At 40.5% G+C, this 21,117-nt stretch overlaps 1 protein-coding gene across 37 annotated transcripts in view, besides 3 other annotated features; it reads right to left on the bottom strand.

Annotated features, from left to right (window-relative positions):
- BCL11A (BCL11 transcription factor A) overlaps nucleotides 1–21,117 on the bottom strand; it is a 103,405-nt gene that overhangs the window by 72,397 nt on the left and 9,891 nt on the right. Inside the window, exons 1-2 of one of the 37 annotated variants that reach the window (NR_175964.1) lie at nucleotides 5,533–5,619; nucleotides 4,739–4,878 (exon numbers count right to left, since the gene is read on the bottom strand). The exons of 35 other annotated variants lie outside the window; for them this stretch is intronic. The gene's annotated coding sequence lies outside the window, so the exon portion shown is untranslated. Of the gene's footprint in view, nucleotides 1–4,738; nucleotides 4,879–5,532; nucleotides 5,620–8,994; nucleotides 9,586–21,117 lie in introns of those variants that run through there. One more of the 37 variants, XM_047444761.1, reaches the window with a different exon arrangement.
- Nucleotides 7,825–7,894: a silencer, noted in NCBI's record as "silent region_11511". NCBI's record gives its function as "represses an Ori minimal core promoter by ATAC-STARR-seq in GM12878 lymphoblastoid cells {active_cell/tissue: GM12878}" and the evidence as "EXISTENCE:reporter gene assay evidence [ECO:0000049][PMID:35858748]".
- Nucleotides 8,915–9,474: an enhancer, noted in NCBI's record as "H3K27ac-H3K4me1 hESC enhancer chr2:60758966-60759525 (GRCh37/hg19 assembly coordinates)". NCBI's record gives its function as "activates a minimal SCP1, AML or CMV promoter by ChIP-STARR-seq in primed H9 embryonic stem cells {active_cell/tissue: H9 hESC(primed)}" and the evidence as "EXISTENCE:reporter gene assay evidence [ECO:0000049][PMID:30033119]".
- Nucleotides 11,353–13,022: an enhancer, noted in NCBI's record as "VISTA enhancer hs957". NCBI's record gives its function as "enhancer in: forebrain[4/4]" and the evidence as "EXISTENCE:transgenic organism evidence [ECO:0001131][PMID:17130149]".

Consider the following 21,117-nt stretch of genomic DNA (forward strand, 5'->3'; position numbering starts at 1 on the left):
GATAAGGTCAAAATGCTTTTAGAGACAGTGAGGTCTACAATAAAACCTATTGATCAGCCTCTGGAACTAGTGCTCCAGAGAGACACAGAGATTGAAACAAAAATTGCCTGGCCGTTTTCTCTGTAGACTCTGTGGGTAAAAGCTTGTTGGACTTAATATCTTTCAGGATATAAAATAAGTAAGAAGTAACTGTGTACAGATTACTGAAGTCCATTTAACCAGATGCAGAGGCAGGTCACAGAAAATACACTCATGGCAGAACCGTAAAGAAGGGAGATTTCAAGGCAACACGTGTTGCAACCTAGAGAAAGAATAAACACCAGTCTTCTCAACTCAGGGGAGGCACAAAGGACAGCCTGCCATCCAGGATTCCTGCTTGGGACTGTTGCTCCTAAATTTGCCACTATGATCCTCAATCCAGCGCTATGTGAACAACAGACTTTCAGATAAATAGTATGGAGATAATTTGCTTAAGTCAGATTTTGATGAAAAGTGGTTTCTACATGGATAGCTTTCAAAAACTTCTATATTGATTTGATGGAATCATGGTGAATTCTAAAGACTTTCCTATTCTCTCTCTCTCCCTTTCTACACACACACAGGCACACAACTATATATATATTCATACATGCATATACGTATGTATATATGTAGTATGTACATATGTATGTGTGTATATAGATGCATATGTATATATGCTTTATCTTATGATGACAGTGTTGATGTGTTTGGGGATTTTTTTTTTTTTCAAAAAGAGTTAATAAGCCTTTTATAGGTGTACCACACAAGACTCCAGTAAGCAAAATCATTCATTGCCAGGCAAAACTTGAGAAATACATTTAGAAATCATACGAGCACACAGGAGCTCAATCAAGTAAATGAATCACCAAGGCACAGAAAGTCACTGGAAAATTACTTAACTAGCCCAAACGTTCAAGAATTGACCAAGGTTTAAGCAGTAAACCCTAAATAATTTATTTAAGCCAAATAGGAGCTTTAAGCACAGACATTAATGTAATGGACTATCCCATCTTAAACTTCAGCCAGAGATCTAAAACTTTGAAGTCAATTATGTTCCCATAAATACCTCTCCATTATCAGGGGTGCTTTATTGTTTGAGAGACTCCGGACCACAGGAACTAGTGTGAAAACTGGAGGGTATCTTCATTTATCATCCGCTCCCATTTCGCAAACAAAATATGCCATGGTAAATATAATCTATATATCACATTGTGACACAGCTGACCGCATTAGTGAGCCAAGACTGTCCTAGCGGCAGCTTCCTATCATGCATTAACAATACAACGGCTGATACATTTGCACAACACAATAAGAGGTGGGGGAGAAGAGAGAACATTGGGCTATGAAATCCTAAACTTCATGTCTGAATACATAATTTTGTCACCTATCTCTGGCATGAATGTTATCATGCTTTTATTTCAGGTAATAATGGAAGGGGAAAGTAGAGCCTCTGGGGGGCTGCCATTCATTCGGCCTGTTATTTGCTTTTGGGTTGGGTTAGGGCTAAACTTTATGTTCCTTGTTTTTGTTTTTGTTTTTTTTTCTTTTTTCTTGTTTTTTAAGATTTTATTTTGTTACCAGAGATAGAAGAGCATGCAAAATCAGAAACAGCTGATTACCAGTGCCCTTACAGAGCATGCCTATTAAAAATCCCCAAAACATTATAAATTAAAGAGGCAGTAATTTAAATAAATTACCTTTTTATTGAAGCTATAGATCTCAAGAGTGCCTGTGTCCTACAAGGAACACATATTTCACAACTGATTCATTTGCCCCTTACTCTGAGCACATGGGATAATAAAAGAAAGTTTTAGATCATCATTATCCAAAGGATAACTTTGAATGCCCTTTTTCAGCATGCTTCTGAAAACATTTCATATCTCATTCAATGCCACATATAAATGGTATTTGCTGGACAGTGTGGAAAACAGAAACATCCGTGCTAAAAGCCAATGGTAAACACCAAGTTTAAAAAATGGATTGCAAAGATCGCATGTCCCAGAACAGGCCATATGCTTTTACCTACATGATGAATAAAAAAAGAACATTTTCCCTCAATTTATGCTGTCTTCAACACTAACAGAGGGAGAGTTCTTCTAAACATGTTGCATCGGATGCCTTTAACAAGCAAAAATTCCTAACTCCAGGGACTCAGCATATGTAGGCTATGTCCATACAGAGAAACCAGCTTTTGGGAGGAGGAAGGAGGAAAATATCACTGAATTCAGTCAGTTAATTGAATTTAAAATACCTGGTTGTTTGAATTCAACTATTTCTTTTTCAAAAACGTACTTCTATTTTGATGTAGTTACATTTGCCCAAAAAAGCAAACTTGGAGAAAATACACATTACATTCTTTGGAGTTTTTCAAAAAAAACAGCTTGCAACAATTAAAAGATGGAGAAATCTTATAAGGCTGGAAACTTCTGTGAATTATCACCATTCCATTATACTGCACTTCAATTTTGCTTCCAGCAATTTGAAAGATGCCTTTAAGCTTTCTGTTGGGGAATCACGAATCCAAGCCTTAATCTCCACCATAGCTTCCATCTTTGAGGCAAATCAAGAAAATAATATTCTGCTGTCTTTGCAGGTGAGCCCCATTCAGCAACTAGATTCCAAAAAATAGCAGGGAGAAAACTGGTCAGTGGTGTTCATACTATGCTAGAACATCATGGGGACTTAGAGACCCACCCAGTCCAAACTATCTATTTTACCTACTTTACAAGACAAGGAAACAAATGCTAACAGGTGAAGGGAGCCCAAAATCTCACAGCATGATACAATAAGGGTCAGAACCCAGGTGTCCTGGTTTTCAGATCAGTGTCTCTCTGTTAACACTAAAAGTCAAAGTTTGGTTCTGGAAAATCTGTAATGCCCAAAAGACCTTAAATGCCCTCCCCCCAAACCAGTCTTGGTAATTTCTCCATGGCTTTCACAGAAGGGTAAATGTCTACTTGGAAGGCCTTTACTAATTTTTATGTTATCTTCTTCCTTCATTCGTGTTTGGTAATCAAAAATAGTTTATCATAATGCTCTCAATTGGAAGGTCTTCATACTACAGGCAGATACTGTTATTTTCTGGTAGAGGATGGCAGCAGGGCTGGGAAAAAAGAATGTGGTTTTTTTCTAACCACAGTAGGTTTTTTCTATAACAATGATTTCACTTTCTAGATATAAAACAGGCATGGTTTCTCTCACCCTGAACTTCTGCAAAATCTAGATTTGATCAAATTCAGAAACTGGTGATTTGATCAAATTCAGAATCCCATATTTTGGGATGATGTGTTCTAGCAGAAAGCTATTGGTTGGCTATATTTTGCTCTTTCTTCCCCAAAAGATTTTTAAATAGTTTTCATCTTTAAAAGGATTTCAACTTCAGATTGTGCCCACGCCAAAGTCTCTATACATCTAATCAATAAATAAATAAGACAAACAAAGCAGCATATGTTTATCCTTTACCATTTGGGAAGTGTACATTAATTACTGCAGATTGTCTCCTATGCATCTCCCCCCACCCCCTCTGCATCGCAGACAGCAGTGCTCAAAAGGGTCCGCAAAATAAAAATGTGTCGGGTAATTAAATGGGTATTTATAATTAGAACTTAATAATTTGCATCAGGGACAAATGAGCTCTGATTTTAATCTGCAGCGCATTTAGATTAGCCCAAAGATAGTGTAATTTGATGGTTTATAGGCCTCCTCTCGGATTATGAAACAATACCAAGCCTTCAAGTGCAGTGTGTCTATGTCAGGAGGGTGTTAAAGAAGAAGATGCAATGAAAATGTTTGACAACGTGAAAGCAGCCATAAATTACATGACAACTGTGTAAAAGTCATGATGAAACAAATAAAGGGCTGACCTATAATGCGTCTGATTCATTGTGACACACACAACTCCCTGCGCTAATCTCTGCCCAGCCAACGCATTCTTAAGCGGGGAACTACTTAGCACCAGGAACGTTGTAAATTATCACTAGTCAACAGCATTGATTTTTAGTCGACATTTCAATCAGGTTGAAGTAGAAATACTACCCGGCTCATCCAACAGCCTCTTAACCAGTCCACTGCCCCTCTGAGGTCTCCCCGGTTATGGCTTTGCTAAATTTCCATTGCTCTCACCATTCGATATTTATTGTAGCTTTGCCACATCCAGGCACTTGGCCTGAAGGGTCACCGGCCTGCCTCTTGGGACATCAAATTTGTGCTTACCTAACGAAGGCAGAAACAGAAAAAGAAAAAGAAACAAAAGGCCATCATCAGAGATGTGGCCTGATTTTCACTGATTTTCAAGGGAAGAGAAGGAAAACTAGGGGGTGCGAGCGAGGGAAATAAGAAGGGTTCTAAAGCCATGATACGCCTTTTATCATTTCAGCTTTATCATTTCAGTCTAGGAGACCCAGCAAATAAAACTAAGAGCTTCTCTTCCAGGGTGACAAGGGAGAACCACTACACTCTTGACCCAAGGGTATGTAGAGACAATGAAGAGGGCCAAGAGAAGGGGTGAGGGGGAAGGGCTTGCATGACCTCCATTGAGGACGTCCATGCCCCGGGACAGAGTGCGAAGTAAAAGTGAAGCTTTGGAGCTCTTGACCCACATGGATTCTCAGCAGCCACCTCCATCCCACCTCAAACTCAGAAGACAACCTGGATGTGACCGACAACTTCTTTGTGATGGATCTGAACAGCCTCCCTTGGTTCTAGCAGAAGGACTTACCAAGTGAGCAGAGCTCCCATCCGATACTCGCCAGTGCTGAGGCCAACTCTTCCACTCCTCCCACGGGGCCTCCGCATGAAGTAGGCGCTTCTCAACTACCAAATGATTCTGAAATTCTCTCAGTGGAGGTCTATGTTAGCCTGGCCAATTTGAAAGGATGGAGAATACAGGAAAACAGTAACATTTGGTTTTGGAATACATTGTGTAATCCATCTGCAACGAACCTCAGGTCTTGCTTCAGCAAATATTAATAGCGTCAGGGCAGCCTGTGGAGTGACTGGGAGAGGCCACCACGCAGCTGAAAACTTGCCTCTGGGGAAGCCACATGCGGATCATATGGAGCTGTTGACTGCAGTTTCCATTCAAAACTTCCCTCAAGTTTCCAGCATGCCTTCCGGACTTGCCTTACCACAGCCTTGTTCAGCCAGAAATGAAAACCTCCTCGAAGCAGATTATGACCCCCCAGAACCCATCGTCCTAAGAAACACCACTGCCACGCACACTCACTCACACTCAGTCTCTCCCTCCCTGTATAATTCTGATTCTCCCCAGCCTTTGAAGGTACGATCCGAGAAGTAAATGCCACAGAGACAACACACAGAACTGCTGCAGGCCAAGCCTCACCACTTCTTAAAAGTCCGAGCTTAGTTTCTCATTCAGCCCACTGCAGTCTCCTGACCAAGCCACACACAAACAGTAAAACCTCCTCCCTCTGTTTCTCAGGACCCTCACTTGATTTCAGGCTCATTCTGGACAGATGGGGAAATGACTACTTGCAAAGCAGGATTCCTTACATTGCAACTTTTCCCAACAGCTCCGTGCTCCTTCAATATGCCCAGAACTGGAGGGGAACATTCTTCTCTTTCCCAGAAGATTGAAAAACTTGACCACAGAACCCATGGGAGGGACAACTGTCCAGCACCAGAGCTTCCTGCCCAGTTGTTGCCTGGCACCGCTGAAGAAAGCTGCAAACGTACTGAAGAGGTAGCAGAGGGTGGCGGCCGCAGGCCAAAGGATTGAACAACTGTGGACCCTCAGGGAAGTCATTTAACCCTTGATGAACCCCAATTTCCTCCTCTACCAAATGAGGCTAATGGGAGTGTTTCCTTTCCGAGGTTGTTGTGGGATGGAATATCAATGTGTCAGACACATGGTAATAATGACAACAGCAATTCTGGAGGTGCAGCCCCCGGAGCGAGTAATGTCTGTGCTTTCCCTCATTTACTTCTCACATGGACTCTATGAGGTAAGGGACCTTGAGTTATCTCCATTTCACAGAGAGGTGAAATGATTCCCTCAGACTCTCCCAACCAGCTAGCAGTAACATAGAAATCTGAACCCAGAGTAACTGTGTCACACACCCAGGCAGGCACAAGCCTCTCGTAAGGCAACACACGTCTATGGGGAGAGGGGACTCCCACCCACGAGGGAGCTGCCACCAGAAACATAATGAGACCCTGAGCTCTTTAGACCCCCACCTGCCCTGCTCTTCTCTCATCCCAACCTGCTCACCCCATAATGGGGGAACTACTTTGAGACCCCAGGAGCACACAGTTCCAAGCCATGAGTCATAACCGTAATAGTAATGAGCTTTTGTGACATGTTTTACCATGTGCCCAGCACTGAGCCCAGCGCCCCCACATGCTCTCATAGGATGCTCAAAGGCCCTATGAGGCAAGCCCCGTGATTCTCCCCACTTTACAGATTGAGGAAGCGGAGGCTTAGGGAATGAAATCTGCCCAAGGTTGCACAACTAGAAATGGTATTACTTCTTTACCCTCAGCCTAAACCATTTTATTTCGTGTAATCAAAGAGAAGAAGAAAAGAAAGAAGATACATCATATGTCAAGGGCATATTTCCCCTCTTTCTGTCCCTCCTCCCTTTCTTACCAGCTCAGGTTACAAAGACATCTAGGTGGGAGAGAAGACTGCCTCTAAGGGCTTGGCTGAGTTGGCGGGCGGGAGCGGGGGCAGGTATCCATGGGATAAACCCAGAGGCCCCCAAATTTTCCCAGTTTTTATTTGCTACTAGAAAAGGAGAAGGAAATCCTGCCTCCCTTATGAGGCCTAGCCAGGGGAAGTAAATGTGATTTTATCACATTTTATATAGATGTGCACAATGGTGCCTTTTCAAGTCTATGATGGGAAAAATATTTTTTATTGTGTGAATATCATTTCAGACAGGTCCCCAAACCACTTGAAAGCCCTGGTGTCCCCTAGGTGGGATTCTATGAACCCAGCTTTAGCCCCAGCAGCTCCTCTGGTGGGAACTAGAACATGCCTCCTGCCAGTTAGTAACAGGGAAATTCAATTACTTCGCCACTTGTGGCAGGAGGGCAAAGACTGCACATTAAAAGAGCTAAAAATGTCAGGAAGTTATTGGGATGATGACTCCTGCTTGCCAACATTCATATATGAATGCATAATGTCACAATAAACTAAAAAACACAGGAAGAGGCCAAGAAGATAAGAAAATCGAGAACAAAACAAGCCCAAACACATGGGTTTGCCATCGGTCCTGGGTCCTGCCCAGGAAAGGCTGCGCCTCTAACAAGAGCACCTTTTCCCCACCCCTGGCCTTTCTTGAGCCTTCCTTGAGCCTTCCTTGCATATTATCGTTCTCAGCCACCGACAGCTTAATTCACAGGCCCTTCCAACAAGTTAAACTTCAGCCATTTAAAAAAAAAAAAAAAAAAGAGTTTCCACTGATTTCTTACCTGCACACGCAGGCACGCCGGCCACGCCCCACCCCACTGCACCACGAGCTCTCACACCTGGTCGCCTGAACACAACCAAACCCTTCCCATCTGGCCCTCGGGTTACTGGCGTTATCACAACTTTTTTTCCCAACGGCAAGCCAGGAAAGATGATAGAACCCGCATATGTAGCCAAAAGACTGGCCTCAACTGGTTCAGAGGAGGGAAAAAATTGAGCTGTGCGTCTCTTTTTTTTTTTATTTTTTATTTTTTTGCCTTTAGCCAAAAGACCAGGGAGCATTTGATGTACAGTCAGCAGGTATTTAAAAAAGAAAGAAAGAAAAAGGAAAAAAAAAACACTGAAAAGGCTTGGCTGCACTGGGGCCCTGACACGCTCTCATCTAAAGCCTGGCCCTCGGCCAAGTTCATCTGTTAATGGACAACCACAACCAGGGCCTGCACCTCCCCCACCTCCCACTACCCCTCCTGAGTCTTCTCTGTTCTCCTACCTCTTTCGAGCTCCTAAAAACTAGACATCGATTATGTCTGCGCTTTTCCCTTTCTATTCAAGATAAACAAAGTGCTTCAAGTTCAGGGCGCACCCTGGGACCCCTGACAAAACAATCTATCATTCTGTCTGCTAAACCAGTCTGGCTACACCATGGCCAGGGAGAGTAACGCTCCCAATGTACAATTTTCCCTTTGTGCTCCTTCCCTCTTGCCACTAACCTCTTTTCTTTACCACCTTCTCCGGAGCAGATGGACTTGACCACTTTGCTTAAGCCCCTCCTGGCAACCTCAGAAATTAGAGAAAAAAAAAAAAAGAGCTCCTGGCTACCCTACTCCGGTCCAGGTTTTTCTCCTCCCTCTGTGTTGCCCGACGGTCCTGCACACACAGACACAAATCCCGTTGGACCCACAGAATCTTTTCGACCCTCTCACACTAACACTAAACCAGAAAATAAATTAAATACTGGGACTGCCCCCTCCTTTGCGTTCTGCAAGAATATTTTAAGTGAGTTTTGTTTTAAATCATATCCATTAATTTACCCTGACTTGCAATTAAATGCAAGCACACTTTTTACAACCAGTACGGAATGCATTAATTATAACTACAAATGGTCAAATGAGAGCAAGGTCCCTCCAAAAAATATTAATAAAATACATAATAAATAATATTAATGAAACAAAAATAGATTCATAAGCCTTGGCCAGGGCTTTTATTATTTCATGCAAGGGGAAAGTCCAGCCAATGAAACTTGCTCCATACACTTTGGCAGGACTCAGACCAACCACTACCATTAAACTCAAGAGCGTGTTTTGGCAGTGCCCTGGCATTGGGGGGCCCTGTGCAGACACCACCAGGAGACGCTGACCCCAGTACCCAAGGCAGGGTCCATAACGTCTTATTCAGCCTTTCCATGTGGTCGGGAAGTTACCCACAGGCTGCTTCCCTCTTCCTAACCACCCTCTCTGCCGGCCGCAGCTGTTCTGTCAGTGTCCACCCTGCCCCTCAAAGGACAAATGAAATCCCCCAGACCCAGTGGGAAATAAGCCCACCTAAATGAAGAACTCAAGACTAGGGCACCATGAGCATCTGGGTTAAGGCTCGGAATCCTGCACCAGCGTTGGAAGCTGCCTTTGTTCCTGCCACACCGCCGGGCCCCTGCTAACCTGTCTCCACAACACTCAGCCTCACGCCTCACCCCAGCACTCCCTGCCTCTGCCCCTCCCCCCAAATCCAACACACCCACCGCACAATCGAATCTAATTAAGATCAGGAAGAAATTTGCATTTTCTTTTCACTGTACCCCCAGTAATCACAGAAGTTCTTCAAATTTTGAGAATTTTGTTCCTCTGCTAATTATTTCCCTCATTTTGCATTTCAAGGCACAAAGACAGTCTATCTCACTGGTGGTCTATTAATAGTTTGAAGTTTTGAGCGTCAGAAGGTGGTTGTTGCTTTTTGGTTTTTGGGTTTTTTTTTTTTTCCTTTTAAAACTATTCTGTCATTTCCAGTTTTTTAAAAAGGTTTTGTTTTGTTTTGCTTTGTTTTTTGTTTTTTTGTTTTTCTTTTTTTGGTGGTGGTGGCGTTAATGTTTCTTCAGAAAGACAGCTTCTGGGCCACTCTGGGTATTATGATTTGGTTTCCCCCTTACAATAGTTACTCTCTGCCTGGTTTACTGATTTACAGAACCTTGGTATGTGAATGGCGAAAAAGAAAAAAAAGGAAAGAAAAAAAGAAAATTCCTTGGCATAAGGATATGTTTGCTGATCAAATTTCAGATCATGTGTTGTTCATTATTATGACTTTACTTGAAAAACAGTTTGCCACAGTGAGATGGATTCACTTATATGCTTTCTACCCCTCCACTCCCTTTAAGTACTTCGAAAAACAGTACAATTTTTTTAAAGGTAGATTTAAAGCATTAACTGGTTTGGATTAAAACAATGTTTCACCATCTGTAAATTCCCTGAAAATACATTTTCAAAAGACTTATGCAAAGCCACATGATTTTGAAGGAGCTAATGAGATTGTCCCACCACCAAAATTTAATGGTGACTTAAGAAATTCTAATACTTTTTATTTACTTCCTGTAGAATTATTTGTGTACTTGACATTTATACAGTTTCTCCATTATATAACAATCTACCCTGGGTACACTAGATTATGCCAATCTATTAGAATGAAATTTGTACTCCATATAAGCAGAAGTTTCCAGTCACTTTTGACTTACCATTATGTTTCAATGTAAAGTGTTATTATAGCAGAGTATAAAGCACAGCTCCTCCATGCTCACGTTTTTAACTCTAATACTGTAATCTTTCTTGCTGCTTCTAGGGCTGTGTCAGTGTTTACATTCCTGGAAGTTAAATAAACCGACATGGCAAAACTCCTGGATAGACTGAATAATAAGGCTTGTGATGACTAAATTGTTTACTTTTTACCTTGTTAGGATCCCTTTCTTGTAAAGTTTGGGGGAGAGAGAGAGGAGAGAAAGAGAGAAGGAATGAAGGGGGTGATGCAAGATAGAAGGAGAGAGATTTATACACTGGCTTCCATATGTCACAAAGACCTTCCTATCCACAGCCAACGCGACTGAAGCAGCATGCATAAGTTAGTGTTGCTTGTTTTGTTTTCTTAAATACCGGGTCAGCTGAATACCCCTTTCTCCACTGCCCACTCAGCCCCACATAAAGTATGAAGATTTTTTTTGACCATTTTCAAATAGCAAATTATCCATTAGATTTCATCATATCTTAGTAAAGCAATTACATCAAGAAAATGATAGTGCGTGTGGAATCAATTATGCATGCAGTTGGCCGGAGACCAAAGGCTGTGAAGTCGGAGAGGGCAGAATCGCTCGACACACACAAATAAAAAGCCCCTGGATCTCACAGATGGACCCCATCAGTTCATCTTACTGCCTAAAAAGTTCATGCACTTAATAATTTATTTGTGTTCTGGATACTGTTTCCCAGCTGAATATTAACAACTTTAAACTGAAGCATGCTTTTAGCATGGTATGGATGGAAGTCACGGTAGGGCAGTGCTAGGTCCCTCGGAGGTTAAAATTATAGTTATGTTTCTTACACACTGTTCATTTTCCATCACAATTTATTTTCTTTCATTAAACATTCGTTTTAATCAGAATATCAGTTACACTGTTCTGATTCTGCTTGTTAACCAGTGATAAACTCATAAACCAAAGATGAACATCAATAATACAGCACAGGTTATTCAACAGCAAAGGCAAACACCAAAATCACAGGCTCTCAAAAATCGGAAACCGTTAGTTAGCACCTTGTTTTCACCACCAGGGCACTCGTGTACCTTGAGGGAGACACTGGGAGCCCAGGGAGCCTGGAGACCAGGATATACTTTGGTGATGAGGGGAGGACACATTGTAGCTCAGAGCAGCAGCTGAATGAGAAAACTTACTTGATCTAAAAGATAAAAGAGTCAGCCAAACCCAGGCCCAAGTCCTTTAGGTGCCAGCCATCTATCTAAAGAAGAAACCTAAAGCATTGTTAGAAAGGTTTGTAGTTCTGTAGCCTTCCCTCCTCCAAAGGAGGAACCTGATGTCTTAATACACTATAATAGCCAAGGCTTCCTGCCATCAAACTGCTAACAATAAAACTGCCCTGCAATGTTCGTGGGGAACAGAAACAGGCAATACATATTTCTCTATGTATCTGGAAGTGCCTCAATCATATACTTAAATTTTACAGTCTTCTCCCCAAATGAGAACGATTTCCAGCCAACACGTTCACAAACTGTACTTAACGTTAAAAGAAAACGGATAAAACATATGTAATTACTCAAGGTTAGACTTCTAATTCCTCAATTCACTAAAGGAAACTTGGCAAGAAGATGCATCATTTTGCTCCTTTCTACTGGGGCATCTGAGGAGGAGAGCCACTGAGGCAGCTAATACACAAAACATGATCAAAAGTGATTAACAACAGCTTCATATGCAAATTACATTAATGAAGGAGTGCAAAGTCATCATGTAAATTAAATATGTCAAATCTCTTGGTGAACTTTTAATCTTGAGAAGAAAAAACACTGCTTTAATTTTTTTACATCATCAATTTTGCAAGATTGAAAATCTAAGAATCTTGGTGCTATAAACAATTTTCACCTTTTTTTTCTCCTTCAGCAGGCTGACAGGCCAGCCTGATGTGCACCGAATGTACATGTTAATAGGCCAATCAAAAATGCAAAACAATTCGCAATTACTGGAAGGACCTAATGGTCATTAGAATTTACAACTAGGTAATGAACTGAAGTCTGCCCACACCATGCATATTCATAAAGCAATTTAGCCTTTGAAGATTAAAGAAGTGCTTAAAATTCAAATGAGCTTTAGCAAATTATCAGTAAGATTCATCCAAAAAGCAAAGGGTTTTTCTTCCTATGATTTCCTCATTTTTTTAATGCAAAATTGTAATATCTTCCAGACTGAGCTTAAACTAAACATAGAGCTTCTAGTCAAGCCAAAGGGGCTAAGATACAAACAGAGGCTGCAAACATCGTCACGGACTTTGTTCATAAAACTAAGCCCTTAAGAGCCAAACCTATCTCTAAACATGGTAATTTATCAAAAACAGCCCAGAGTCGCTCATAGGCAATACTGCATAGTCCTCCAACAGAACAGATTAACACGAGTCCCTCCACCCTTCCAAAAAGCCTTTTCCCCCTCAAGTTGTCTCTCCTGTGTAAACATCCACTGTGGTATAAAAACAGCTTTTTCATTGGCTTGGAGTGGCATTAATTTTAGAAGTTTCTGCTTCCAAAGGGAAACCAGCAAGAAAGGAGAAGCACAGGAGGGAGAGGAGCAAGGTCTGGTTTACTTCTGAGGAGTGCAAATCCTGTTGCTTGAGATTTGCCTTTCTGATTTCCTCCATTCGGCACCAGCCGCATTTAATCCATGGTGAACGGGTCATGCAGACATCAGCTGACATTCAGAAAGTTGTGGTGTCCACCCACCACCACCATCCCACCCCAGTTATTAGAGAGTATCGTGGGAACCTGGATTTGCAGGCTTTCCAATTACTAGTCTGGAGAAGAATCCTTTGCTTGAATGCTAACTCACACCTTGCTAACCTCCTGACATTTAAAAAATTCTAGTGACAGAATTCCCAATGAACTCCTCCTCTTCCTCCCAACCCCAACCTCTCCAACCCAGGTGAAAGCAAGAAAGTATATGTTAAGTCCTATCTCAGCTGGTGTGCAAGTCAGACTGAGAATAACAGCTTCGAAAGGCCACGTGTCCCAGCTTACCGCTCCACTGCTAGACCCAAAAGCTCTCTGCTGTGGGGATTTCATTTGAACTGCTATCGAAGAATATTCCAAGAACCTCTCTCCGCACCCTTCTCCCCCTCTCTCCCCCAGCCTCAGACTTTCTCCTAGAGTTGATCTTACCGGAAATGTGGATGTTATCAAGGAAATCGGAAAGAGAAGGGAGAAAAATCTCAGGTACTACCCCCTGATTTCTTAACTCTCTTATCCTTGGGCCCTGCTCAGAAATGTGCCACATTTTAACATTTATTAGAAAGGATAGGATGCAGAGCTGCATGGAACCCACATCCACAACCATCTGTATGAGCCACAGGTCCACAGTCCTGACCAATTCCGTTTGACACTAATGTTACTCTACATGAGTAGAGTTCAATGAGGGTTGATATGGGATGTGACAGGGCAAATCAGAATTAGATTAAAAACAAAAGTTTAGAAACCAATGCTACACTACAGAGCAAATGGGACTTGAAGGCCAAATTTCCCCTAACTGCCTTCAAGTGATTTTCCCTATTAGAGCGTTTGCCTGCCACCCCCCTGCTGGCAACACCGCAATCACATCAGAAAGTAAAGTGGAATGCATATAGGAAGCCTTGAGATATTCCTCTTTAAATACAATACCTATATACTTAATATATAGCAATTAACTTCTGGTCAGCAGTGTGCAGGCAGCAGGCTGCCCCAAGCAGATAGGAGGGGAGGGGGACCCAGAGCTGGGACAAGCACAAAAGACAGGTCCAACAACAATGCCTGCTGTCAGCAGCTGAATTATTTTTATACAGGAATTTTTATCTCTATTGTACAAACAAGTACGTGTCTGTGCTGACTTGTTAAGCAATCCACTTGTATGTAGAATAAGATTTTTTTTCTTTCTTGCTACCAGTCACACAGCTCCAAGATCAGAAGAAATACATAGTCTTTGAAGCTGCTCAAATGTTTTAGTTAAAAGGACAGCAGTTGTTTTCAAAGATCCAAGAGTATCTTTATCAGAATTAAATTTTTCCTTATTGATTTTTTTCTCCTTAACATAACAAAAACATAACATGAGAAGGTTACGATTTATTATTAAAATTTTTTTCAGCCTTTAAATCATTCTTCAGTAGCCAATGTTCAGTTTTAAATGTAAAGGAATAATTTTTTTAAAATATTAGGGTGTGATGGAGAGAAACTCACGAGATTTAAGATTTAACATTGGTTAATGCATTGTTTTAACTGGAAACTGAAAGGATCGGGGCAGGGGAGTTAAAATGGGGAGTAAATGGTTCACTGAGGGGTTCCCCCCTAAATGTAAATAAATCATAAAATCATGGTATACCTTGAGTTGGTGAAGGAGAATACTTCAGGTTTGGTTCTCTTAGTTTTTTGAGGTTTGTTTTTGTTTGAGGAGGTGCAGGGATTGGCCAAATATTAAAACTCTATATTTAAAATGTACAGGAACAGACTTGGCACATAGTGCTTTGTGCTCCAACATAAGAATCCAAGCTACACTTTATTTCCCTAAAAATTAACAGATGTGATTTCCTTGCAGCCTTTTTATGCATCATTACATATTAAGAAAATGAACAACTGATGAATATAAATTTAAATGCCCTGATGCTTAGCAAAAAGCTTCCTTGTGTTTTTTAGAAAGTTCAAAAAGCAAATAGAAAGGCGAGGTAGGTATACAACAGCACTGGTTTTCTTTTTGAAGGCACCCTTGCAGGTTTCACAATAATTCCATTCTTTATTTTAATGGGAGTTTTTAATCAGTGGATTCGCCTCTATCTAAAACTAAAATCAAATTGTAGGTGCAATTGTTCATTGGCAATGCTAACAACAGTGAGAATACAAACAAAAACTCATTGTGAGTGACCAAAGGTCCCCAGGTATCCCCTTCATCAACATACCTGCTCCAGGTTCCCACTGGGAATTCTCTGGCAGAGACTGATTCAGTTCTGAATAACATGCTGCCAGCCCTATCTGGAAAAGGGTGTGCAAGGCGCCTTCTCGCCTCTTTTACAGGAAGTTTAAACCTGATCATCTCACCTTTAGGTATATATAATTTGTTGTTTAGCACTCTGAGAACTTGGTATTTTATCTATCTAAAGAGATCAAAAAGGGCAAAAGATGGAGCGAGCTGAGGCCCAGCCTAGCTCTGGTGCATACGTCAATCGTGCACTGCGCGTTGCCTTAGAGGAGCAACCTGTGCAGGTAAATCTTCCAGCAGCATTGCATCAGATCCACTCACATCAGTCTCCAGGGTGAACCAAGAGATGACACTTCAGTTCCCTGTCTGCAAACTTCTAATTCGCCAGTTCTTAGCAGCTTATTTTTCCAAGTGTTTTGTTTCAGGAAACGTGTATTTTTCTTTATACGTTTTGTGGATCTACCACAACTGCTTCTGACAGCTGTTGATTCTGTTAAAGGAACACATTATAAAAATCTTCTTTAAAACCTCAAGCAATGTGGACTCAAAAATATAATGGTGAAATATTTTAATGGAATTCCAGTTGAAAGTTGTTTTTTAAAAAAAGTACAAATGAAGGTACAGAAGTCCTTTAGATCAGTACTAGATTTAAACTGAATGTCTCTCTCTCTCTCTCTCTCTGTGTGTGTGTGTGTGTGTGTGTGTGTGTGTGTGTGTGTGTGTGTAATGGGGAAAGAGGGGTGTTGCAAATCACCACAAATATTTACACTGTACTCCCTTTGTTCAAATCACATACTTTTAACGGGAAAAGCTGGAACTGTGGCTATTTAAAATTTTAAATATTCAAACGCCTGTAATTAACCATATGAAACAAATTATGTTGCATTTCTCCATACCAGCACATGCAAAAAAATTCTGGTGGTGAATTGGGAGGTGGCAGAGTTGGGGAGACAACTCCAAGAGAAGAAAAGGATGATGTTTTCATTTCGCTATAGATCAAAGGAGAACAAGAATGGAAACTGTGGCATATCGAGCATTTTTCCATTGCTGTCTTTCACACTGGGCTATCTAAGTTTATACAATTCCCCAGACTAGCTGCATATTAAGCTTGCTGTGTACAGCTTTATTATGGTGTGGTGGTGGAAGAAGCATTAATATTCCAGCTCCGCATCTGACAGGGCATTTACATGCGCCCATCTGAGCGGCACCTGAGAGCTCCTCCAAGGTGCAGTAACTGTGCGCCTATTGTAAAGGCAAATGAAGCTCACCTATTCCCTGCTGGGATCAGAAGTGACCTCACCACCCCCCATGCCTCAAATCCTTCCCTTGCCAACCTAACTCAATGCCATTGCAGAATGACGAATGAGCTCAGAAATAGACCCCAAGTTACTAACCCTGCTAAGAACAGCAAAAGCCTTTGCTGAAATGTTTTAAAAATGCATAGGGAGTGCAGCTGGCCAGTAAAAAGCAGGGAGACAAATTCCAATGAACCCAATATGGAATAAGTTACATTTTAAAACTGATTAGAAATACAGTCTGATGTTTACTGGCTTCAAATTGAGTTTGGCATCAAGTATACTGGCTTTAATAATGCTGGCACTTTTAAAATTATTATTATTTTAAATCTGCCTTTGGTCTCTAGGAGCACATGTAGAGAGCTAAAGAATTCTTATTTGTCAGGTTACATTTCCTGGAAATTAAGTTTGTGACAGAAAATGACTCCAGTAGCAATAATATGGTTCGTGCTCAAATTAATTAGGTCATGTTGTAAAAACTACGTGGCAAATTACAAAGGTAAATTTACTGATATTGGCCAGTGCTCTATACCCTGGTCGTAAAGGGGAGAAGCTGTTTAAGGATGCCCATTTACCTAGGTAGGAGAAAAGAACCAAGGAGGGAGGGAGACAACAGTCAATTTCCTATTTGTATTACAAATAAAAATAGTAGTCATTATCCATTAAATTATATAGTCTGAACATATTTTATGAACTTCATTAATGTCATCCAAATTGATACATAACATAAAAACCTGCTTGATTTGAAATAATGTTAAAAGTGGGCTCTAAGTTAGAATCTTTTTTTTTAATCCTTGAAATAACAACACTGCTGACATAGCCATGACCCAAATGAAATCTGAACAAGCAGAAAGGTACTAAAGATGCTTGGTGATTAAATCTCATGCTAAAAAAGTGGCAAGGTGCCAGGCTGGGTCCAGCTTGATGCTAAGTGCTTTTTATTGCACAAAGCTGGTACTACTGTATGTAAAAACAGACTTGGGCTTGGGGTAAATTTTGTCAAATGACTTCTTTGTGCAATAAAGGGTGTGAACAGACCAACCAAAGTAGATTAAATTAACATCCAGTGACGCAATCTTGGTGCATCTCCCTAGCTGTGCTTTCTACTTCGGTTAAATTTAATATTTCCCCCCAAAGGAAAGCCAAAATTTGTTTCCTTTCTTACTGACCAGCACGCAAAGCCACCATTCACCTATTCTCCTTTATTAAACATTTTCATTGAGAAATCACAAAAATCTAAAAAATGTTTCCCTAGGATTTGCATGTTTTTTATGTACCCCAATTTAGTACTCCCACATTAGCCAAACTACATGGAAGCTGCAGTGTGAAATTAATGATTTTCCAGGACTCTAAAAGATGCCATTAATAAGCATCCAACTCGCCTCCTCCCTGAGCTGAAGGTTGCCTGTCCTGACCCTGCCTGCACGTTTCTACACCCAGTTGCATTTTCCAGCCCATGTGCAGCTCCACAATTATATGCCACATTCACTAAGAGAAAGGTGTGCAAAACATATTTCAGATCCTTTATAGTAAAGGCACAACTTGCAACACAACAAGGAATGGGGTGATTTAAGAAATTACAGCACTGGTTTTGTGTGTGTGTGTGTGTGTGTGTGTGTGTGTGTGTGTGTGTGTGTGGTTATTTTGTTTTTTTGTTTTTTTAAGCTTTCACAGAATAAACACAGAGAACGGGAGGGAAACTTTGTCCCCCTCTGCTCCTGTTCTTGAAGTGAATACATATTTGTGTTTCCAATAAAAGGCCATTTTTACATTAACTGTCTGTAACAGCAGGAGACAGAAAAACTAACACAATCTCCACATCACACACAGGATGATCTTCATATCACGTGGACCTATTCTCAAAACATTATTTATAAAAGATGACTAGGAAAATGCACAATGCATCTTTTCTGTGTCACCACAAGGGTAATGTCTGAAGAAGTTTGGGATCTTTAGGATCTTCTACATTTTAGATATATTTTTTTTTTCCTTTTGGCTTTCCTTAGTAAGTTTAGCAGCCATGCGGGCCACTGTGTTTAATTAAGCTTTCAAAAGTCCTGACAATGCCAACAATTGTAGGACACTTCTGCGGCTCAATCATGCAATCACTGTGACAGTTCTATTTACAATTTGTCTTAGAAAGAGTTTCTCTGACATTGTACTTTGACAAAACATCCAAGCTGCCAGTTCACAACCTTTCTCTGTCTTATTTACAAATACAGCTTGTATATAGGACTCCCAGTTTCATGAACATTAGTCTTTGGATAGTGGCCTCACAAACATAGGCTCCCTATGAAAATCCTAGGTACTTATTAGAAAACAATATTCTCTACTCTCTGGATTTTGAAGGTAAGTAAAATGTTCACCAGTATATTGTTTTTTGTGGTAGTGGTGTTTTTTTGTTTTAACTGCCATGCTGAAAATTCACTTCAGAAGTCAGTCGTTTTTATTCAGAATCACATAAATAAAGAGAAAAGAAAAATAAGTAGTCATAATAGCATACTATAATTTATAGTCTCATTTACAATTACACCATAAGGTACACAAATACATCCTCCAGTTCAGTCTGAGCTAGGAGAGAATCAGAATGGATACAAAAAGAAAAGGTAAGTTCATTTTCTAAATTCTGAAAAGCATATTGTATTTGATTTACTTTTAAGAGCATGCTAATGTATTTCCATTTTGAATTACTATATCTCCCTTCTTTAGAGTATCTGTCTGATATATCATTATCTAAATACCAGCTATACTGTCTAGGCAAATAATTTTAAATACCCTGATATAAATGTCTATGTTCATGATTTTAAAGAGAAAAAATGTTATATATCAACAGGAGCAGACTTTACTACATTTTATAGGACTTGTCATATTTTTTCTCTAGTCTCTCAAAAAGCTAACTTTATGACAGCCCAAACCTAATTTAAAGATTCCTATGTGCAATAAGCCAAAACCTCAAATCTGACATGATGGGATAATGTTTGGGTCTTTTCTATAAGGGAACAGCAGTTTCACATTCAGTAATCTTCCATGAATATTTCCCCCCATCATAAAATATGAGACTAAAAAAAAAGAAAACAAAACAAAACAAAACCCCTATTGAAAGCTCTGACTGCAAGTCAAAGGCTGCTGATATCTGAGGGTGGATATTTGACACACATATTGATGAACTGGGCCCACACAACATAAGCTGCTAATTCCCAGCTAAATTAATACTACTTCAATGATCTCAATGGATCACAATCACACAATATTTTGAATATTTAAATAAAATGAAAAAAGCAACCTGATTAACATCTATGTGTACAGCTCATATGTGTACGTGGATGAAGTGGGGGAGCACATACCCATCTATTCACCAGGTAAAAAGAATCCTCTAAAAAATACTCAGTTTGGGCCAGGTGCGGTCGCTCAAGCCTGTAATCCCAGCACTTTGGGAGGCCAAGCCAGGTGGATCACCTGAGGTCAGGAGTTCAAGACCAGCCTGGCCAACATGGTGAAACCCTGCCTCTACTGAAAATACAAAAAACTAGCTGGGCGTAGTGGCACACGCCTGTAATCCCAGCTACTTGGGAGGCTGAGGCAGGAGAATCGCTTGAACCTAGGAGGCAGAGGTTGCAGTGAGCCAAAATCATGCCACTGCACTCCAGCCTGGGCAACAAGAGCAAAACTCTGTCTAAAAAAAAAAAAAAAAAAAAAAAACTCAGCTTGGAGAGGCCTGAGTACAGTGAAAATGCATACCATTTTACTCAAGATTTAAAGAACTCTGCCTTATTCTCCTATCTGAAAGTCCCGAATTCTAAGCTTTATTTATCTTAGGAAGAAGATCTGTCACTGTTTTATTCTTGCTTCCTGCCTATAAAATAGTACAGGCTCACAGTGAACTCAAATCCAACTTACATCACTTTAATAAAGCCTTTCCTACCCAGCACGCTTAAATGACTACCTTTTATGTGGTTGCCAAACACATTCTTCTAGAGATTCATCAATATATCTCTTTCCTTAATACAAGGCATTGCTTCTCCTTTCTTTTTGTGACACAATTCAAATATCTACTGAATGATTACTGTTATTGTTTCCTTCCTCATCATAAAAAGAAAAGCAGACTTGGAATTGTGCAGACGTGCTTTAGAGAAATGGGCTGGGGGTACACACACAGCCGTCTTCCAGAACTTCGCTTCAGGGGCACCTGAGGGCCAGAGCGTCGGAATTTATGTGCAATGGTAGAATGTTAACTTCACCATAGGAAACTCTTAATTCATTACTGTGAATTATGAGAAGTCGTGATTCTAGTTACTGACATCTCACTTTGAGATGTGACCACACTATTTATGTTCAGCCAGTTCCAGGGTGGGAACAGGTGATTAAACACAATGAAAGAAATCAAGACTTTGTAATTATTCATGCACGAAAGGTTTACCTCACCTGGGTCACAGCACTTGTTGTGCGCCCATTGAATATCTTAGACATCTTAGAGAGCTTTTCGTCTCAGTTAAATGATTGATTATTAGCGCTATAAAATATATTTTAAATTTGCTTTTGGTTTTGGCTTCTCTAGGCTCTGCTATTATACTTGTTCTTTAAAAAAATAATAACAGAACCTTTAGACAACCAGGGAGTTCAAGCAAATATCTCTTATTTCCCTACATAGATTCACAACTATAGCAGTAAAAGTCTTAACT

The sequence above is a fragment of the Homo sapiens genome, chromosome 2, assembly GCF_000001405.40.
Source record: "Homo sapiens chromosome 2, GRCh38.p14 Primary Assembly".
Taxonomy (NCBI): domain Eukaryota; kingdom Metazoa; phylum Chordata; class Mammalia; order Primates; family Hominidae; genus Homo; species Homo sapiens.